Source organism: Homo sapiens, chromosome 12 (assembly GCF_000001405.40).
Source record: "Homo sapiens chromosome 12, GRCh38.p14 Primary Assembly".
Lineage (NCBI taxonomy): Eukaryota > Metazoa > Chordata > Mammalia > Primates > Hominidae > Homo > Homo sapiens.
Genome location: NC_000012.12, coordinates 39,947,622 through 39,970,771, shown reverse-complemented (window position 1 = coordinate 39,970,771; position 23,150 = coordinate 39,947,622). Strand labels below are relative to the sequence as shown.

General features: G+C 36.9%; 1 protein-coding gene across 8 annotated transcripts in view; it reads left to right on the top strand.

The window, feature by feature from the left end:
* SLC2A13 (solute carrier family 2 member 13) overlaps nucleotides 1-23,150 on the top strand; it is a 351,057-nt gene that overhangs the window by 135,310 nt on the left and 192,597 nt on the right. For all 8 annotated transcript variants that reach the window (XM_011537847.3, NM_052885.4, XM_017018765.2 and 5 more), the window contains one exon: nucleotides 19,407-19,515. In XM_011537847.3, the coding sequence (XP_011536149.1) occupies nucleotides 19,407-19,515 (109 nt within the window). The remainder of the gene's footprint in view (nucleotides 1-19,406; nucleotides 19,516-23,150) is intronic.

Sequence of the window (23,150 nt, the reverse complement as noted above, 5' to 3'; positions counted from 1 at the left end):
AAAGTTACTTCTTGAAGCATCAGGACCCTGATATTATTTTGGTGATCAAGAAAAAGATCAGAATTAGAGATGAAAATTGTGTGTGCATGTGTATGTTTTGTTTTTTAAAACCAAAAGATTGAACTTTGGAAGTAAAAGAGACAGGCCATGGTAGAATTACCTAAGGACTTGGGGTAAAATCTTGGAGATGGCCTGCATTAAGGGTAACAGAAGAGAAGAATCTCATAAAGGTTGCTGAAATGAAACAAAGAAATGTTAGAGGAGGAACAAAATTCTGTAGTATCACAAAAGGCAAAGGTACCAATGAGTGTATTAAAAAAGAATCATCTAAGGATATGAAATGCGAAGAGACCACTTCACTGTTGGTATTACCAAGTAGAGTTTAATTAATGACTTTTTGAGAGTAGTTTCAATAGAACAAGAAAGGGCAACTTTCTTCACAGAATTGGAAAAAACCACTTTAAAGTTCATATGGAACCAAAAAAGAGCCTGCATTGCCAAGTCAATCCTAAGCCAAAAGAACAAAGCTGGAGGCATCACGCTACCTGACTTCAAACTATACTACAAGGCTACAGTAACCAAAACAGCATGGTACTGGTACCAAAACAGAGATATAGATCAACGGAACAGAACAGTGCCCTCAGAAATAATACCACACATCTACAACCATCTGATCTTTGACAAACCTGATGAAAGCAAGAAATGGGGAAAGGATTCCCTGTTTAACAAATGGTGCTGGGAAAACTGGCTAGCCATATGTAGAAAGCTGAAACTGGATCCCTTCCTTACATCTTATACAAAAATTAATTCAAGATGGATTAAAGACTTACATGTTAGACCTAAAACCATAAAAACCCTAGAAGAAAACCTAGGCAATACCTTTCAGGACATAGGCATGGGCAAGGACTTCATGTCTAAAACACCAAAAGCAATGGCAACAAAAGCCAAAATTGACAAATGGGATCTAATTAAACTAAAGAGCTTCTGCACAGCAAAAGAAACTACCATCAGAGTGAACAGCAACCTACAGAATGGGAGAAAATTTTTGCAATCTATTCATCTGACAAAGGGCTAATATCCAGAATCTACAATGAACTCCAACAAATTTACAAGAAAAAAACAAACAACCCCATCAACAAGTGGGCAAAGGATATGAACAGACACTTCTCAAAAGAAGACATTTATGCAGCTAAAAAACACATGAAGAAATGCTCATCATCACTGGCCATCAGAGAAATGCAAATCAAAACCACAGTGAGATATCATCTCACACCAGTTAGAATGGCAATCATTAAAAAGTCAGGAAACAACAGGTGCTGGAGAGGATGTGGAGAAATAGGAACACTTTTACACTGTTGGTGGGACCGTAAACTAGTTCAACCATTGTGGAAGACAGTGTGGCGATTCCTCAAGGATCTAGAACTAGAAATACCATTTGACCCAGCAATCCCATTACTGGGTATATACCCAAAGGATTATAAATCATGCTACTATAAAGACACATGCACACCTATGTTTATTGTGGCACTACTCACAATAGCAAAGACTTGGAACCAACCCAAATGTCCATCAATGATAGACTGGATTAAGAAAATGTGGCACATATACACCATTGAATACTATGCAGCCATAAAAAAGGATGAGTTCATGTCCTTTGTAGGGACATGGATGAAGCTGGAAACCATCATTCTCAGCAAACTATCGCAAGGACAAAAAAACCAAACACCACGTGTTCTCACTCATAGATGGGAATTGAACAATGAGAACACTTGGACATAAGAAGGGGAACATCACACACCGGGGCCTGTTGTGGGGTGGGGGAAGGAGGGAGGGAAAGCATTAGGAGATATACCTAATGTAAATGACGAGTTAATGGGTGCAGCACACCAACATGGCACATGTATACATATGTAACAAACCTGCACGTTGTGCACATGTACCCTAGAACTTAAATTATAATGTAGATATATATATATATATATATATATATATATATATATATATATATATACCAAAAAAAAACAACAAAAATAAAAAAGAAAGGGCAGGCTTAGAGAGTAAAGTGTCAGTAATGGGAAAGTGTGTATAGACCTCTTCTTTCAAGGAATGTAGAAGTGACGGAATTGTAGGTTGGTAGACTTGGGATAGAGGGATTGATTGGCAGGCAAGGAAGGGGAATAATAGTGTACAAGATCCCAGAGGAGGAGGGAGACCTGACATGTTCAACATAGATGGGGTTCAGAGAGGAAAGAGTCACCATTTTTGCTGAGCTACAAGGAAAAAACAAACAGAAATACCGAGAATCTTTGTGTTGGAAGGGAGGTGATATGTTTGGCTGTGTCTCTACCCAAACCTCATCTTGAATTGTAGTTCCCATAATCCCCATGCATCTTGGGAGGGACCTGATGGGAGGTAATTGAATCATGGAGGCAGTTACCTCCATGTTGTTCTCGTGATAGTCAGTGAGTTTTCATGAGATCTGATGGTTTAATAAGGGGCTCTCCCGCCGCACCACCCCACACCACCCTTCACTCTGCATATCTCCTTGCTGCCACCATGTTAAGAAGGACATGTTTGCTTTCCCTTCTGCCATGATTGTAAGTTTCCTGAGGCCTCCCAAACCATGCTGAATGGTGAATCCATTAAACCTCTTTCCTTTAGAAATTACCCAATCTCGGGTATGTCTTTATTAGCAATATGAGAATAGACTAATACAGGAGGGAAGCTATAGGAATTTGTATCAGATGGCTTCTGAAGTGGTTCAAGATTTTTGAGGTAATTTGCAAAGTGAGGTGAAATTATGTGTGGATAGGGAATCTATTTAAGTCATGACTTCAGGTCAAAATACAATGCTTAGAACATACCTTTTTGAGGTTATGTAGATACCATTTTCTGTCTTTAAATATGTCAGTTCTTTGCTTTCTTAGAAATAATTTAGCTTGCCTTGCTACCTTTACACCATCCAACTCCCACAGGTGTATTTCTTTCTCTTCTCCTTCCCTCCTTTCATTAAAAGGCCAAATGGATATATATGACAATGAAGTAAATGAGCTTTATACCAATAGGCTAAGTAATTTATGAATAGTACTTTTTAGAAAAGTGCTAGGAAAATGGTTCTTCACTATTTTCCTAAAACATTTATAGAAACTTGATGAATAATGAATGGGAATAATTTATAATAGCCACATACTTCACTCAAATAGAACACTTGTTTATACTCCTACACAGCAGTTACGTCATGGCTGTATTTTACATAAGGAGTCATATATTTTTAATGTAAATGTTGCTAGAATAGTTTCATTCAGTAGAGTTATAGAATCTTGGTGTCTTAAGAGATCTCAGAGGACAGGGTATCCCTGAGAGGCACTCAGCTAGACATTGCTTCACTTCTGCCTAAATTGTGCATTCCAGTGATCATGAGCCATGCTAAAATACAGCATAAATAAGTCATCAATAAGTTGAATAGCAAGGCTAGGATTGTGTCTACATCTTTGCTAATGAATATAATGCTAGACTTTTTATATATGCATAACAGATTTAATCAATGAAAATATGTAGAAACAAGTTTTATTTTACAGTTGAGTTTTGCAGTACAGTGGGAAGATTGCATTTTTAAAAGACAAAATAAGACTTAGCATTCAGAAAAAGTAGCTGGATCAAAGCAATTTCTAAGTAGAAACTCAAATTTCAGTCAGTATTTTAAATAGACACATCCTGACTCCCTTCACAGATTGCCACTGACCATATGGTAACTGCAGACATGCCTCAAAATAAAACAGCCATATGTAGATTTTCAAATACTGACCTCATCCCTAGAGAGCCATATTTATCTAGAAGAGCATCTCAAGCCATATCAAGTAGAATTATGATTTGTGTCATGTTCAAAGATTAGAAGAATCAGCCTAATGAAAAACAATCACAAGTTAAAAGCAAAATGCCAAGGAAAATAAGGTTAGATACCCACAGACATTTAAAAAGCAAAGGCATCTGGAGACGTATCTTTCGAATTCTCCTTGCCCAGTCCTTATACACAGTAGGAAAGCACATAAAAGTAGCATTAAAATCTATCCTGTGCTATGGCCATCAGAATGGATTTAGGGGAATGCTTAAGGGATGATCAATAGGAGTGCTTGGCATGCGTATTTCTTCTCAGACTAGCAGTCACTGGATGCAAATATTTTCTGTCTGCTGAATGTGCTAATGGAATACCAATATTATTTTTTTCTAATTTCTATTGTTAAAATTTCTAGAGCAGAACATGTGGAACTCACTTCTATGGTTTCCTGCTGTTAATCATTCTCTACTGAAATTCTGCCAGTTTTCCAGAACATTTAGCTTTGTGGGCATGTGTCTGTGAATTAAAAACATGGAAGAAGGAACAGAATTGTTGCAGGAATTTGGAACAAATCTATTTATATATTCAGTGGTACCTCACTTCCCTTATCAAAATCGGGGTGGAGAAGGGCCAGAAAAGGGGATTCAGGAAGTAAAGGTCTACAAGTAATAAGAAGATTCTGTAATGATGATCATTGTAACTACAAAACCTCTCTCTCTCACGCTGTATTTATGTATTTATACATATACATACTTCTCTCTCTCTCTACACACACATACCCCACCTCTCTCTCTCTCTATATATATATATACACACACACATCTCTACATACATATGCATACATATTTTATATTTATATATGTGTGTGTATCATATATATATGTATATATATATGAAAAAAAGATTTTAATGACCTCCTTATGGACAGTCAAGCCCCGCATCCCATAGGTGTAGTATTATGCTAGCAGATTTCTCATGTCCAAGTTTTGTTTAAATCTGAGCACTCAGGGATATGCCAGTTGCCTAAAATTAATAATGTTAATCATTCCTAAATGTTCTTTAAGAGCTTTAGTTTTTCCTTTGCATTCCTTTTAATGTAGCAGTATTTCATTGGATTTGGTTCAGTGATTGTGTTTCAGACATAGTGATATATCATAGGTTTGCCTTCAAATCAAATACAGTTATGATCCTGAAGGAAATTACCCTTATAGGCCAAACTCTGAAAATTGTACTCTATCCTAAAAGGTCACTGAAATTTCTGAACTAATCTTTATAATACATGAATAAACCTAAACATTGTTTTTTACAAAGCAAGGCCCCTCACTAGTGTATGTCACTGGATATATAAGTAGACATCTGTGAAATTTATTTTTGAAGTATTATTTTGGTTTCTTGGTACGTAAATTGGATTACTTTATTCTAAGCCAGGTTTGTAAGTAGTTTTTAAAAGTCATTTGAACCCATTCAGATTACTCAGGCTCTTTCACTGTGTTATCTCATTTTGTACTCTTCAGTTTTGCTAAATGTAACAAGAGGAGACTTTAACAGAAAACCTTAAAATGTTTTCTGCAATAAAAAGATCAGTTCTTCATAGAAATCCAATAGCATTGTAAAATTAAAACTAATGTTCCAGCATAATAATGTCCATAAACTTGCTTTTCAATATTAATTCATTTTTGGTATTGATCTCATAAGGGAGTGTTTAGTTACCAACTGCTTTAGGCCATGAAATGTTTTGGGGCAAAGAAAATTGAAGGGATTGTTTTGGTATTATGTTGCTCTTAACAGATTTTTCAGGAATACATAGAACTGTGTTAGTTAGCTGACATCTTTTCTGTTATTTAAGTTGTATTTAATTGGGAAATATTATATCTTGTCATTTGTATCTGATTGTTTTATTGGAGAGGTTTTTTTCCTGAAAATTTGTAAAATAAGACAAGAAGACTAAATGGCTTATCTAATAATTTTTTTCCCTATAGAAATCTAGATTTTGATTCATACTTAATGTGTAGATCAGCCTTTCCACTAAGGTTCTCAAAGGTGGCTGGCCTTCTTTACTAACTGAAAGCAGGTTCAGCAGCCTCTTATAGCTTTCATGGAAAGAGTTTAATTGACCAAGATAGACTGTGTGTTCGTCAGCCTTAAGAAGAGAGATTTGTTTTATTTATATGCTATGACATAGGATATGATGGGATTGTCTTTATGAGAAAAATAGATCCTAAGATCCAGCATTCACCTTGTGACCTCCAGGACCCTGTGCACCAACCCTCTTGCATATGGTGACCAAATTCATGTATGCATCTTCCTTGTAGGCTCTGTCAGTTATGTTCCCGACATGGTAAAGATAGTTTTAAATCTCAAGTGTCCTAGCATAGCTAAACAAATGGAAGATATGGTTATATGTCCTCCTCCTTTTCCCATAGCATTTACATTCTTCCATAACCATTTATGCTTCTTATCTATTTTAGGAATGGCACCTTTATAAGTAAGTGAAAGATGAGAGACTGGAAAGTCCATACTTTGAATTAACTCTTCTCTTCCATGAACGTAATGCTTTACTTCCTACCACATTTTGGAGAACTTAGCACTACCCTTTTTTATAGAACATCTTTACTCTCTCTTTATTTAATGACTACCACTGGTATTTTTTAATATGTAAATTCAATAGTTTTTCTTTTTCCTTTTTTAGTGGTACAGGTAATAGAAGAATAGAAAAAGAGAGTTGAGGGAGGGACAAGAACTACTTTGAAATTAGAGAATACATTTACAGCCTCATATGTTCAGTTCATTTTTATATATATAGTTCTGGGATATTTTTGGAATAATTATGATTTTCTGAGAATCATGCTGACAGAAAACATCGTCTCTTTCTTTTAAGATGTTACATTTCAAGGTACCCCCTTATGTTTGCAGTAGTCATACTTCCGGAATCTGGGGGACAATTTCAATTTTTTTAAAAGATACTCTGCCCCAACATAAGATCATGGGCCATTGAATTCAGGCTGAGTTTTATTTTTTGATAGCTTTATTCATGATTACTGTTATATATAAAGCCAAATATAGCATGAATCATACATGGTTAGCTTTTCACTCTAATTCTCATTAGTACTTATTTGTTGAATGTCTGAATCTAAAAAGGGAATGTGCTAATAGAATATTACTCAATATCCATATAAAACTTAAATATCTATACAAATACAGTTTCTTTAACCAAGCAAATGATTAATGTTTAGGAGCATAGTTCATCTCAAAATGCTCTGCTCTGATAGAGATTCAAGAATACTTGATTTCTTGGGAGCCTACATGTGATCTAAAATGAAGGCAGGGGAATGGAATAATTCTGATTTAAATGTAGTTGTAAGAATAGTTTGGCAGTACATATCTTGATTGAACTTGATAGAACTGTCATTTATTATGGGAGCCTGTTGTCTAGGTCTTACTCATTTATGCCTAGTGTATTGTTAGTAATCTGTGTAGGAGTGTTAAATATAAAGGAAAGAAATTATAAGTATAGAATGCATTTATTCTTTATGTTAATGAATCTATTTGAAATATTTTGTGGAATCTTAAATGTGAAGGGTAATTGTTTATTTGATTACAGAGAAGGAAAACCTATACAATTTATTGGCTATTTTTTTTTTTTTTTTTTTGAGACGGAGTCTCGCTCTGTCGCCCAGGCTGGAGTGCAGTGCCGTGATCTCGGCTCACTGCAAGCTCCACCTCCTGGATTCACGCCATTCTCCTGCCTCAGCCTCCCAAGTAGCTGGGACTACAGGCGCCCGCCACCATGCCCGGCTAATTTTTTTGTATTTTTAGTAGAGACGGGTTTTCACCGTGTTAGCCAGGATGGTCTCGATCTCCTGACCTCGTGATCCGCCTGCCTCAGCCTCCCAAAGTGCTGGGATTACAGGCGTGAGCTATTGGCTATTTTTAATGTAAAACTTTGAAATTGTATTCAGCTATGGAGAAATTCTACTAGAGAGCTTATGGATGAAATCATAGCATCAGTAGTTGAATTAATGTGGGATATATTTCTCATGCATTTCCACCTTTAATTATGAAAACACCTGGAGCTCAGGGAAGGTAAGGAACCTGCACAACATCACACAGCTTCTAAATGGCCAAGATAGAGTCAAACCTGAGTTTCCCTGATTTGGAGAAATTGTACTATTCAACACTGATTATGGTTGTATAGTCTTTAGCAGATGCAAGTCATATATATTCTTTTTTTCCTTGCATATAATATCTATTGAAAAACCGGGTAGGTGAGAAAACTTTATTATATCACTAAGAATGACAGCATATTGTGAAAATACTGTCAGAATACCATCAGTCAAGTGTGTCTGTCCTTTCATTTAAAAGTGGCTTTGTCTAATGGCAGGCAGCATGGCACAATAAGTAGCCATGAGGAGTTCAGGCAGAGATGCATAAATGGGTGACTGTGAGTATTCTAAGAAATCTACTGGACATGATTTTTTTGTCTCTATATGGGATCTGGAAATTCTGCCAGAGAGGCATTTGAGTGATGCCTTCAAGAGTAACCCATGGCTGGGCATGGTGGCTCACGCCTGTAATCCCAGCACACTGGGAGGCCAAGGTGGGCGTATCACCTGAGGTTAGGAGTTTGAAGCCAGCCTGGCCAACATGGTGAAACCCTGTCTCTACTAAAAATACAAAAATTAGCTGGGCATGGTGGTGTGCGCCTGTAATCCCAGCTACTCAGGAGGCTGAGGCAAGAGAATCACTTGAACCGGGAGGCAGAGGCCATAGTGAGCTGAAATCATGCCACTGCACTCCAGCCTGGGTAATCCATAGGGCTTTTCTCAGGAATGCGAAGGTGGTTTGATGTTACAAAGCTATTATTGTGACTTACTGTGTAACGCTCATCTCCATAGAGGGAGAAAAGGCATTTGATAAAATTCATTGCTTTTTTAATTAAGTAAACACCCCATATTTATGGGGTATATGTGATATTTTGGTACATGTATTAAAGTTCATTGTTTTTTCTCCTTGGGAGGTTGAGGTGGGAGGATTGCTTGAGCCCAGGAGTTTTGAAGTTACAGTGAGCTGTGATTGTGCCGCAGCTTTCCAGCTTAGGTGACAGAGTGAGACTCTGTCTCATAAAAAGAAAAGAAAGGCCGAGTGTGGCGGCTCACACCTGTAATCACAGCGCTTTGGGAGGGTGAGGCAGGAGGATTGCTTGAGCCCAGGAGTTTGAGACCAGCCTGGGCAACATGAAACCTTGCCTCTAAAAAAAAAATTTTTTTTTAATTAGCCAGATGTGATGGCATGTGCCTGTGGTCTCAACTACTCGGGAGGTTGAGGCGAGAGGATTGCTCGAGTCCAGAAGTTTAAGGCTGTGGTGAACCATGATCATACCAGTGCACTCTAGTCTGGGGCACAGAGTGAGACCCTGTCATAAACAAAAAAATTATTGCTTATTGATAAAAGGTTAGTAAACCAGGAATAAAAGGGAACTTCCTAAATCTGTTTAAGGATACGTATCAGAAGCTTTCATCAAGGATATTACTGATGAAACTTTGGAAGCATTCTCTTTAGTCCAGGCGTGGTGGCTCATGCCTGTAATCCCAGCACTTTGGGAGGCTGAGGCAGGTAGATCACTTGAGGTCAGGAATTCAAGACCAGCCTGGCAAACATGGTGAAACCCCATCTCTACCAAAATTATAAAAAATAAGCTGGGCGTGGTGGCGTGCACCTGTAGTTCCAGCTAGTTGGGAGGCTGAGGCAGGAGAATTGCTTGAACCCAAGAGGCAGAGGTTGCAGTGAGCCAAGATCATGCCACTGCACTCCAGCCTGATGACAGAGCGAGACTCCGTCTCAAAGTAAAAAAAAAAAAAAGAAAAAAACATTCTCTTTAAAATCATGCAAGGGCCAGGCACAATGGCTCACGCCTGTAATCCCAGCATTTTGGAAGGCCAAGACGAGTGGATCACTGAAGGTCGGGAGTTCGAGACCAGCATGGCCAACGTGGTGAAACCCCATCTCTACCAAAATACAAAATTTTGCCAGCTGTGGTGGCGAGCGCCTGTAATCTCAGCCACTCGAGAGGTCGAGAAAGGAGAATCGGTTGCACCTGGGAGACTGAGGTTGCAGTGAGCCAAAATCACGCCACTGCACTCCAGCCTGGGTGACACAGTAAGACTCTGTCTTGAAAAAAAAAAAAAAAAAAAAGAATGAGACAGGAAACCATTTTTCACCATTTAATAAACGTTGTACTGAAAATACTAGCCAATATTAGGCCGGGCGCGGTGGCTCACGCCTGTAATCCCAACACTTTGGAGGTTGAGGTGGGTGGATTACTTGAGGTCAGGAGTTCGAGACCAGCCTGGCCAACATGGTGAAACCCTGTCTCTACTAGAAATAAAAAAATTAGCCAGGCATGGTCATGCGTGCCTGTAATCCCAGCTACTCAGGAGGCCGAGGCAGGAGAATTGCTGGAACCTGAAGGCAGAGGTTGCAGTGAGCTGAGATCACGCTGCTGCACTGCAGCTTAGACAATAGAACGAGTCTTCATCTCCAAGAAAATACTAGCCAACATTATAAAGGAATAAATAAAGCTGTCATTGTTTGCGGAAGTCTATGTAGAAAACTCAAGAGAATGTGCAGAAAATCTTTTAGAATTAATAGAGTTCACCAAAATTGGTGGATATAAAATTAACATACAAGTGCAGCATCAAAGAGGAAATGTAATGTTAAAAAAGATACCAATGATAATAGAAACCAAAATGTCAGGTACTGCGGAATCAATATTATGAAATATGCATATAACTTTAGAGAAAAGTAACTGATATTTTAGCAGACCCCAATAAAGATATATTTACATATAGGAAAAAAAAGTGGCCCTGTCTATAGACAATGCTAACAATATAGCTATTTAAGAAAATCATATGGACACGGGGAGGGGAACAACACACACTGGGGCCTGTCTGGGGGCCAGGTGAAGGGAGAGCATCAGGATAAATAGCTAATGCATCTGGGACTTAATGCCTAGGTGATGGGTTGGTTGGTAGATGCAGCAAACCACCATGGCATGCATTTACCTGTGTAACAAACCTGCACATACTGCATGTGTATCCTGGAACTTAAAGTAAAATAAAATTTTTTTAAAAAGAAAATTATTTATTTAGAAAGGATACTTCCTCTTTTTAAATAAAAGTTTTCTAGAACAGTAATTCTTCGTAATTTTTTCCTCAGCAACATACCACACTCCCATGACTGTTAAGAAGTTTGAAATTCGTTCAGTTGAGAATTGCTGAGGAATGCATTTTATGTCTGCTTCATTTATGTAGATACTTTTGACAAAGAAAATATTTTAGAATTTAGAAAGAATTCTTGATAGTAACAGAAATTGGTTTTTGAAAACAGTATTTTAGTGGTATTAAGACCTATAATCATCTCCTCTTCTAAGTTGATAAAAACCTTTACATTAGCAACCTGGAATAATAATGACCAGATTAACACAGTCATTGCATACCGGCCCTAATGTACCATGATCAGCTTACAAGCACGCATCTATAGACAACTGGCCCATCACAACATCTTGGCAAATTGATTGCCTTGGAGGATTTTGGAATGTATTGGCATAAATGCCAGACTGTGAAAGAATGATTGAACCACATGGGGTTGAATTCATCAATAGCAGCAGTCCATTCTTTCAAGCAGAACATGTGCCAAGCACCAGCTTGTAATCACAAACATCATCTGCTGCATATTGAAGAGGAAAACAGCGTGGGTGTGCTCAGGATCTTGGTGGTAGTTTCTAATTAATCACAACATTGTTTAGCAACTTGGAGTATACTCAAATTGCTTCATCCATGAGTTCTCAATCCCCATACTTGCTCTGGTGTTTCTCTTTTTTTCTCTTCTTTCCTTCTTTTATTCCTTATATTCATCAAGGAAATATTTACTGAATGTCCTCTATTTACATGATCCTGAACTAAGCACAATGGGAAGTAAAATGATAAAATGAGCAAAGCCTGAACTACACACCCGACATAATCCAGCACAGAGATCATAATTCACTATGGAACAGAGATCAGGGACCTAGTCCCCAAAACAAATTAGCCAGGAGTGAGAGCCTGGTCCAGTCCTTCAGAATTGCAAGGATGGGATCCCAAGCAGAAGGAACATTGTAAGAGACAAAATTGTAACAATATGGGACTTCTTTGAGTAAAACAGATTACCCAAAAATTGCTGAAGCATTGCCTATTAGAGGAGAAGTAGTATGAAACAAATCTTCTCAGGTGGGCTGGGGCAGGAGTGTCCCCTTCATGAAACAGGCCCTGATGGTTCTGTTATCAATGGTTTTGAACAAGTAAGTGGAGGATTCAGTGGGGTGCTTTAGCCAACAGGTGGCAGCAATGTGGAGGCGGGATGGATTGGATTCGGTAGAGACTGGGGATGTTGAGACCACATATTAGGCTTCTTATTGAACACATGAATAGTATGTGCCAGGAACCTTATTATCTCTAATCCTCAAATGGATAGTACTACTCTTAAATCCATTTTACTGAAGGGGCGATGGAGACTTACAGAATCTCACAGTGGCTACATTGTAGGACTGGTATGTTAACACTGGTCTGTGTGAACACTTTCCACAGCCGTGCACTGTCCCACTGGGAGATGGATGCCAGCCAGACAGGCAGTAGAAAGGTGGGGAGGCAGAGAGGTACAGGTGCAGAACAGAAGAAATCTTTCCAATGTTTTGTGGAAAGAAGTTAGGCATACATACATTAATTCTGATTAAAACTTGGCAATGTATTAGATTCAGGATATATGAAGAGAGAAGGAGCACTCAAAAGCCATGAATCTTGATTTACTTTGAAATTAGATAACATGGGGTAAAAAACAAGTTTGGGGTGAGAAATGAGGACTTCTGTTTTGTATGTACCTGAGTGGCATACCTCTTGTGGGTCCTTCCTTATGCCTTAATCTCATAATACTGTATATGTACCTCTGTTAGAGCACTTACACCATTGTGGCATAGCTTGTTTTGTTTTGGTGGATGACCCCATCCTGGTATTATGAGCTCCTCAGGGGCTGGGCCTCCTCACGTTTCTGTCCCTAGCATGGAGTAGGCTCATGGGAAGCGCTTCAGGTATGATAAGGAACTAGGGGATTCTTGGCCAGAGAGACAGGAGAAATCAATGGAAGTCCAAGGAGGAGGAATGCTTAAAGTGAATGTTGTGAGAACATGATTGGGAGCCAGTTAGAGATGAGTGAAAGGCTCCCCTGATAGCACGCAGGACCTGACATGCTGAATTTGTCCCAAAATGAGTGTGGCTCGTTTTTGTAATTATTCTCAAACAATGCTCAACTCCCTGGATGTGGGAATGGAGAACTCCCTGGATGTGGGAATGAAATGAGTGGCTTGAAGTAGATAAATCTGGAACTGAGGCTGGATAGAGTGGCAGGTGGGACCATGAAAATGATGAAGAAAATGAAATGGAGGAATTGCAGTCGTAAGGAGCACAGAGTATGTTTGTTACTATAGCTTGGAAGTGTTTCAGTTTTGTTTTGTGTTACTTCTACTGTTCATAAGTTGTTGATTTTTTATGCTAAGAAAAATAAGCTTATTTAAGTGGGCATACAAAATATCTTGGCATTTGTGGCATGAACAAGATGTCGGCCCAAGTTCTCTCTCTAAACACTTACTAGTTTGTGACCTTGGAAGAGTTATCTAATCCTTCTGTGTTTAGTTTCCTCTTTTCTAAGATGGGGGTAGCAACACTTGGTCTCTCTGACTTCACAGGACTCTGATGATGATAGGAAATTGTTCATAAGGCAGGAAGGGTTATTGAAGTATTAGATAATCCATTGAGATTTGAGCAAATGCTTAATACTCTTGGTGATTGTGTGAGAATGGCCGCCTCTGGTTGCATTCAGGAAAGGATCGTGGTGTTGGGGGATCTTGCTGTGCTTGATTGTAGCCCAATTATAGGGCCCTAAATTGAGGAGTGGGGAGAATAATATTTGAAGCTGAGCAGTGATTATCTTGCTCCCAGTGAGGCCCCTGCTTTCTCCACAGGGGCATCTTTACTTTATCAGCAGTGGGGAAGCCTCCTACAGTTTGCATCTTGTAATCCATTAGTCACAAAGTGTTCCACTTTTTCCTCCTTAACTTTAATATTAATACAAGGTAAAACTCATAAATAAATAAAACAAAAAGAAAGGGAAGAATAAGAGCAAGAAAAACCTTGAAGAGGTGTTAAGGGGGCTTCATCATTGGCAGTTCTCTTTCAGCAGTCTCACAGCAGACTTCATTACTTCAGTTTGATCAAACATTGTTGTTTCTAATAACCCCCTTGTGTTCTTACTTAAGGGAATATCATGCTCTTTGAATATTGAATTTTTTTTCTTATCCAGTTCACCATGTCAGCCTTCCTGACATCTAAAGTCTCTAGATTATTGGTGAAGCTTTTTCTTACTTTTGTTGTTGATTTTTAGCAGCTCTATTGAGGAATAATTTACATACAATAAAAAGCATGTATTTAAAGCATATAATTTGAGACGCTGGCATATGTGAACACCATGAAACCATTACCACAACCATGCAAGTGAACATATTGCTGCCTCCCCAGAACTTCCCTTGGTGCCCCTTTGTAATTCCTCCCTCCACAGGCAACCATTGATCTGCTTTCTGTCAAGTTATTTGGACTTAGAGTTTTCTTTGGGGGAACGTTTTTAACAAATTCAGTATTTTTAATAGCTTATAGGGCTGGCTACTCAGGCTATTTCTTCTTGAGTGAGTTTGGAAGATTGTATCTTTTAGGGAATTTGTCTGTTGCATTGAAGATGCTGAATTTAATGGCATAAAGTTGTTCATGATACTCTTATTATTTTAATATCTGTCCTGAGTTCACCTCATTTACTCCTGATATTGGTCATTTGTGTTTCTGGCTTTTTCCTGGATAGTCTGTGCATTTGTTTTCTGTGGTTACTATAATAGATTACTACAAATTTGGTAGCTTAACGCAGTAGACATTTATTTTCTCACAGTTGTGGTGGCCAGGTGTCCACTCCTGTCCCACACCCCCTCCAGAGTCCGTAGAGGACAACCTCTTCCTTCCTTTTTCCAGCTTCTGGGGGCACCTGTCATTCCTTGGCTTTTGGCTGCGTAGGTCCAATCTCTGCATTTGTCTTCTCTGCTTTTGTCTCGAATCTTCCTCAGCCTCCTCCTGATAAGGATACATGTGATTGCATTTAGGGAAAACCTGGATGATCTAGGATTGTCTTCCGATCGCAAAATTTTTAACTTAATTATACCTACAAAGTTTATTTTTGACATCTAAGATAATACAGGTTTCAGGGATTAGGATGTGAATATGTTTTGAGGGGCCCTTATTTAGCCTACCATAGCTTGGCATGAAGCTTATCAATTTTATTGGTCTTAAAAAAACAATTTTGGTTTTATGGATTTTTCTCAACTCTCTTCTTTTCTACTTCATGGATTTCCATTTTGATCTTTAGTAATACTTTTAGCGTGTGCATACTTTGGGTTTCACTCGTCTGTCTTTTTCTGGTTTCTTAAGGTTGAAGGTTTCCTAAGAGATTTCTTGCAGTAATTTTACCTGTTACACTTTAGCTCCATTCCACAAATTTTTATAGGCTATGTGTTTAGATTCTTTCAGCTTTATATTCTTACTAATTTTCATAGAAATGTGTTATTTAGTTTCCAATTTGGGGGATGTTTTCCAGTTGTCTTTCAGTTACTGATTTCTATGTTAATTTCATTATGGTCAGGATATTCTTAATATGACTTGAATCCTTTTAAATGAGTTGAGACTAGTTTAGAGCTCAGAATATAATCTACCTCAGGTAAATATTCTAAGACATTGACCATACAATTTAAGAATGCATATCCTGCTCTTATTTGGTGGAATGTGGTTTAAATGTCACTTATTAGGTCAAGTTTGTTGATAGTGTTCTTGGAGTCTTCTATATCCTTGGTGAATTTCAGGATACTTGTTCTGTCGGTTACTGAGAGTGATGAAATATGAGAGTACAATTGTAGGTTTTTCAATTTCCCTTTTCTGTTGTGTCAGTTTTTCTTTCAAGTATTAATATTTTGAAGCTCTCAGTAAGTGCATACACGTTTAGGATTGTTATATTCTCTTGATGAATTGGTCCCGTTATCTTTACAAATTGTATTTTCCTGCCTTTGTGCATTCTTAGTTATTTTTTATTTTATGTCCACATTATAAAATTTTATCTCATTGAGTTTTGTTCTCGGATACCATTAAGCTGCTTAGAAGCAGTTGAGTCTTGCTTTTATGCTGTTTTAGATGGCATTCAAGTAATGTTTAATCTAGGACTAAACTTACACCATTATTAAGGTATATCCCTTCTAAATACTCTTTTGTATGCTTCAGATTTTTCACTCTGGTTCGTAGGAACAGGCACTATCCCCAGCCCTGTTTGAGCTCCTGGAATTGATTTCTCTAACCCTTTCCAGTAGCTCTTTCCCCTGTCTTGGGTTGTTTCCTCACACACCTACACTGATCAGTACTCAACTGAATACTCAAGGGAAATTCTGAAGATCTCCAGATTCTCCTCCTCCCTCTCTGAATCTATCCTCCCTGGGTCCTCTGCCATCTGAATTCTAGCCCCCTTGGCATCTCTGTATTCTGAGCTGCATCTTTTCAACTCAAGGAAACACCAATGTCTGCCTGGTTTACCTGCCCTGTGCTGCAGCCTGGAAACTTTTTTGAGATATTGAGCTGGGGACAGTTACAGGGTTCGCCTCATTTGTTTCCCAAATCTCAGGTATCACTTTGCTTCATTGCCTGTTATCCGCTAGCATGAGAACTGTTGTTTCATGCATTTTTGCATGGCTTTCTAGTTGATTCATGTAGAAAGGGAAAGCTGATAGCCATTATTCTGTCTTAGCTGGAAATGAAAGTCAAGAGCTGGAATTTTATACAAACTGGCTTTTAGTGCATTTTTAATCATACTTAGAAAACCTTCTGTAGGCTAGGTTCACAGACAACCTATCATCCACAAAAGTGGCTGCCCTTGTGGGACTCTTTTTCATCCCTGCTGCTGGAGCCTCTGCCACCTGGACAACCTTATGCAAGTTACTTAGCAACTTGGTAGTATGAGGTGTTCAGAGTGAAGGAAGAGGGATGAGCTCATTTTGGGATCTTGAATCTACTGCTTTACTATGGGTTATATTTTAGGTCTTTTATTTCTAATCTAGTTGGTTAAAGGTTTTAGTTTTTATAATGTGAGAATTTCTGTGTTTGAAAGATAAACATTTAAAATAAAATTAAATGTGAAATGTTTGTATGCACAAAACATTTTTAATTACAAAAGCAAAAGAAATGTTTTAAGTAGAGCATGACATTTTAAATGTTCACTTATGAACATTCAGCCAATTAATGTACTTGATTTTTTTCTTCTGCCTCATAGATTCTGTGATATAAAGATTAATGATGGTTTTCATTTGTAAAGGAAGTTTTACTGCCTAATAAAGCTAGGTTCATAATTTTAATGAAAGGAAATTCTTTAATTTTGTTTATGCATAATCAGATGTGCAGCTGCTGGGACCAAAATTTATCCATTAAAAAATGCAGTCTAATAAAGGAACTACCATCATTTATTTTTAACAGGAAATCCAAATCAAGAGAAAATATAAAATCCAGATTTTAAAAAACTAGGAAATATGTGATGTTTATGCAATAGCTTATCTCTTGTTTTTATGGCAAGTCAAACTTTGGTCCTAATTTGTCATAATGTTCTGTATTTCTGTTCTCCAAAATCATTATTACCTAGCCTGACCATCAAATCATGATACAGTTTAATAGTGAAAGTAGATGCATCTTTCCAAAGATTATAATAGACTTCTTGCATTAGGAAAAACTAATTTCTCATCTGAGAAAGGGCTTTTGTTTGTTTTTGTTTTGTTGTCTTTTTTTAAAAAAAAAATCATGATATACAAGGTAAATGTTATTATTTTTATTTGAAAGTTTTGATTAAAGGAAAGGTAGTGCCTTGCTTATTTTGTGGGTCACTTGCAGGTATCTGTATTTGCAGATGAGCCTGCCTATCTTTCAGGTTGCTGATCCAGATATATTTCAGCATTGTTACAATCAAACTCTCAAAATTCACCTGTTTCACACAGTCTTTCTGATATATTAGGCTTTAATACTGCTTTGCTCGAATCTAAGGCAATTTGACATTTATAATACCCTCAGTCTGCTTTCTAAATGGATCGTCACTACATTTAGCTTTGAATGACCATCAACGCTTCTCTAAATTAATCTATTCCCTCTCTTGCCATTTAGAAACAAAATCATTTGCAATAACTCAAGTTTTATGATTATACTTATATCCATGTAGGAATAGAATATTCTCACCCCTATAATATTTCATTCTAATTAATGCCCTGGCTTGACGTCCCATACTAACTTTTATTGCTGAGACAACATACATATTGTATTCCATTTTTGTGAATTTGAATATTAGATTTTCAAAAGATCCTGAAATAGTTAGACTTCTTTGGATTTTAATTTACCGGACTTGGTTTAGAGTTCATTAACAAAACTTGGACTCTAATTAAGCAGTTAGCATTGCAGTGATCCCAGGCCATCTCTTCTAACAGCGGGAATACCATAGGTCCTGGGAGTTGACTCTAGCTCCATTAAGGACACCATATAGAATGCCTCTTAAAGCTAAGGTGACATTGTAACTGAAACACTTATGAGGCTGGAAGGGCCACATTTAGTAATTATGCCCTGACAACAGGCATCAATAAGGTTAGTCAACCTACTTAAGGACTCAGTGGTTCAGATTTACAGCTTTCCAGAACTGATCCAGAGTTCAGATAAAGACCAAAGTATCTCTGCCATTTTGAAAGTTCATTTGTATTTTAAAATAATCATTGATTGCCTCTTAAGGGACTATTCAAAATTTAGAAATACACACACACACACACGTACACACACATACACACATCTATAGATAATAGGTATTAATTGTTTTTCTTTATTAACTTTTTGGTAACTTTTATTAATAATCTCCATTGTAGCTATAACCAAGGCTGACATCATGCCCAAATTCTGTAACTTTAGTAAAATAACATGAATTTTGTTCTTTAATTCTTCTTAATGAATGCTTTTCTTACGGTTGATTAAAGCAATTTTGCCAGTGACTTTTAAGTAGTCCCACATGGATGGATTTTAAATAATACTTAATTGACAAGAAAGTTGAAGAACAAAGGAAGTGGTTAATCTCTAGAGCTTGTAGGGATTTAAGGAAGACTAATTTGACAGTTTTAGTTATATAGGTCTTCTAGTACCCATAAATTGCTTAAACTTAAATTATCTCTTGTCGCTTTTACAGTTCAAACTAAAAACAAAAACAAAAACACTATCTGTTTGCAAAATAAAATATTGTACCCAGATTTCTGTAAAAATAGAGTTGTTCTGATTTAAAATGCCCAGTCATGTTGATTTCATGAAGATTTAGGAAAATTTGTCCTATTGGGAATAATTACTATGAGAGCTAAAAATAATAGTTGTATTTTTTTTTTCTTTCTTTCTTAAAAAAGCTGGACCTGTGATCTGCAGAATGCTGAGTTATCCCCCAACTCGCCGAGCTTTAATTGTGGGTTGTGGCCTACAAATGTTCCAGCAGCTCTCAGGCATTAACACCATCATGTATGTATTTCTTTCTGGCTTTTTACTGAAAAGATTGTGAAAGGATTATTTTATGTGAAATAGTGAAAAGTATTTCATGTAAATACTAGACTCAGTGATTTGTTCTGATTAAATGTATGAATTCTCCTTTTGGGAGATACTGACTTTACAATTTTTTAATTCCAGTAATTTGTTACTAGATAAAGGTGATTTATTTTGTTTGTTATATGATTGGCTTTATTTGATTCCATAAAATTTCTCTTTTACGCCATCCAATACCTCCTTGTATTCTGAGCTTAAATGTGTCATTTTTTCTAAGCCATTTCTTGATGCTGGTTGGAAAGCAAAATAGAAGGAAATCACCTGGCATTGCCAGAGATTATGGGCACACAGATAACTAATTCATTTCTTTTTGGTGCAGTCTACTACAGTGCAATGTGATAAGGACATTAGTAGAAGTACGTTTATTATAACCAGAGTATGGTAGAGGGGAGATTGAGTGGGAAGGAGAGTGAGGAATACAGAAAAATTCCCTGTTCTCTAATTTTAAGAGTAATTCCCAAAGCTGTATGTGTGCTGAGGGTGGGAAGGACTAAATATTAAGGGCTCTACTAGGTTTCCCTCATTCAGTATTAAACCCATTTTTGAGGGCCTCTGTTGCACTAGACCTACAGCAGTAACTAAAATAGACCTGGGTCTTGTCCTCATGGATGTACAGGCTGGTAGAGGAAGCACACATTAAATAAACTCACAGTTAAATATAAGATTTCAAACTATGATAAGGGCCATACAGGACTCTCTCAATTCTCTACAGAGTAGACTTTTAAGATCCTAAATCATAAAATACAGTTTAGAGAAGGTTATGTGCTTTCCCAGGGCACATATTGTTAGATTAAAAGCTGCCACATCTTAGAAGTCCTCCCCACTCCCTGCCTATTGATTGAATTTTTTTCATTAAGAAAATACAAATTATGTAAAATTAAATTTTCTTTGGTAAACCATTTGTATTTGAGACTCTTGATTTTTTTTAATTACTTGAGATATGATGAGTTATTTAGTGACTGTTTGAGAAGAGTGAATTGATTAAAATATTTTTAAAAAAGAAGGATTAGGACCCAATGAGCCAGTATATTAAATCAAGATTTGTTGAGAAACTCCATTTTCTATACATTCACACACTTTGTGGATTTGACTTTAATCATAATCCCTGTTGAACTTCAACTTTCGAGACTACATGTTCAATATTTTGTTCTCTCCTGCTTCTCTCTGACATTAACTTTCATTTTTTCTCACCTTTACCAGCTCTATTAAGGCCCATCTGTTGGTCTAGTGCCAGGCACGTTTGATTGCTTGTTCTCTGAATTTGGCACATCATGACTTGTTCTGAGATGTGTCCACCTTCTGCAGTCTGGTGGAAGTATAGAATTGCAGCTAGGCTAGGACCAAGCATCAAATAATTAAATCCATTAATAATCCTATGTGAATTCGTTAGTTGACCAACCTAATATTTGTTCTGGTTTTGAAAATATGTTTTGTTTGTTATGCTTTTTTTCCTAAGCATTTAAACTTGACAAGTATAAAAGCATAGAAAGTGAAGGATTTTTCTTGTACTTTTTTTGTTTTCACTTAAAACTGGTATCACAAACAGAGCCAACTCTAGTTTATGGGTAGTGACTGGGGCCAGTGTATTCCTAGTTTGAAATGACTGTCATAATCCATTAGCAGTAGCTAGTGTAAATTGAGCTGATTGATGCTGTCAAATTTTAATAAAACATTCATTTCTCCAAAGCCTCACTTTTTTCCTGAAGATCAAGTGATATAAGGATCCTGATATTCTCTAATATTTATGATAGATGCACTTTGCTTATCATAAACTGCACATGATATAGGTAGTGTTGTCATAGAGCTTTTGTTTGCATTTGATTATCAATCCTGGAAAACAGGAAGAATAAAATAAAGTAAATGATGGCTGAACTTAGACTGTGTCTACATGATGTAAAACAGCTAATCAACTTCCTGCATAAATTAATATGTTCATGTCTAGAGGTTAAAGGATTAGACATTAAAATAATACAATACCTATGCTGAGTAACTGTTGTTTATTCACAGTACATAATTTCAGACATTCATATTATAAGCCCATAAAATTTAGTGTAAGTCAGTGTCATTATGATACACTGTAATACTGTTTACTGTCTGCATAAAAAACAACTAATCTGGGACTCTCATGTAATGTGTTTTCTCCTGCTCTCTCTAGTCTTTATTTGTGTGTGTATATGTATGTATCTTTTTCCATTATTCTCAAGATTAAGGAAATACTATCATAAACTTTGTTTCTGATTTAAAATAATCTATTAGAGTCTAGTAATTTACTTTTTTTATTTTTAGTAGAAATTTTAATTATGCCTTTTATTTTGTGTTACTTTGTTAATTCAGAATATCTTTTCTATGGATATTTTATTACATATAACACATATGTTTATGTATATAAAATTTTACTCTTTTTTTCCAGCTTCTTCCCTTTTAAGTGGGAAATAAAGCAGTTAATGCTTTTCTTTATTTTAATTCAACCCTAATAATGTGTAGAAGTTGAAATACGTTTTTGAAAATTCTGTCGTTTACCTCAAAATCTGAGTGAATGGAAATATAAGGTATTTTGAATTCTATTTCTCACCAAGGTGAGTTTATAGAAAGATTATACGGAAAGATAATATTAAACAAATACATTAAAAGATAAATCATCCTCACAGTTGTGTTATATAATCTTACTGTGTTTAGTTTTTTATCTTCTCCCTCAAAGAATCCTTTATTCCTATTCCCTTGACCTATTTACTATTCTGTCACATTTGACAAAATAGATTTTCTTCTTGAAATACTTGATTTTCTTTTCCTTTACCATATTTATCTATAGACAGTATATCATATATATAGATATATATCTTTTATTTGTATGATAACTTATGTTTCTTTATATCCCAACCCATACATTCTCATCCTCTACCCTACCGAATGGAGGACTTGTAAGTTCTTAAAACTTACATATTTCAGACATTACATTTCACTTTTAGATGAGGCAATTTTTTTTTATAATATGACTCTCATCCTAATAATTTCAACATGCAACTGAATTGATTATTTTCCTTTATTCATAGGAGAGAAAGAGTAGAGAAAATGGAGTACTAACTTTCCTAATATAAGGGTGTTAGTATCATTGCACTGTATCTCATAGACCAATAAAATATTTCTGCATGTGTCAAAATAAAGAAGAGGAGTGATAGATGAAGATGATGATGGTTAAAGTAAATTCAAGAAATTCTCGGCCAGGCGCGGTGGCTCATGCCTGTAATTCCAGCACTTTGGGAGGCCGAGGTGGGCAGATCATGAAGTCAGGAGATCGAGACCATCCTGGCTAACACAGTGAAACCCTGTTTCTACTAAAAATACACAAAATTAGCTGGGCATAGTGGCGGGCGCCTGTAGTCCCAGCTACTCGGGAGGCTGAGGCAGGAGAATGGCGTGAACCCGTGAGGCAGAGCTTGAAGTGAGCCGAGATCATGCCATTGCACTCCAGCCTGGGCGACTGAGCGACACTCCGTCTCAAAAAAAAAAAAAAAAAAAAGAAATTCTCACTGTGATCTATTCTAAACTCTAGTTAT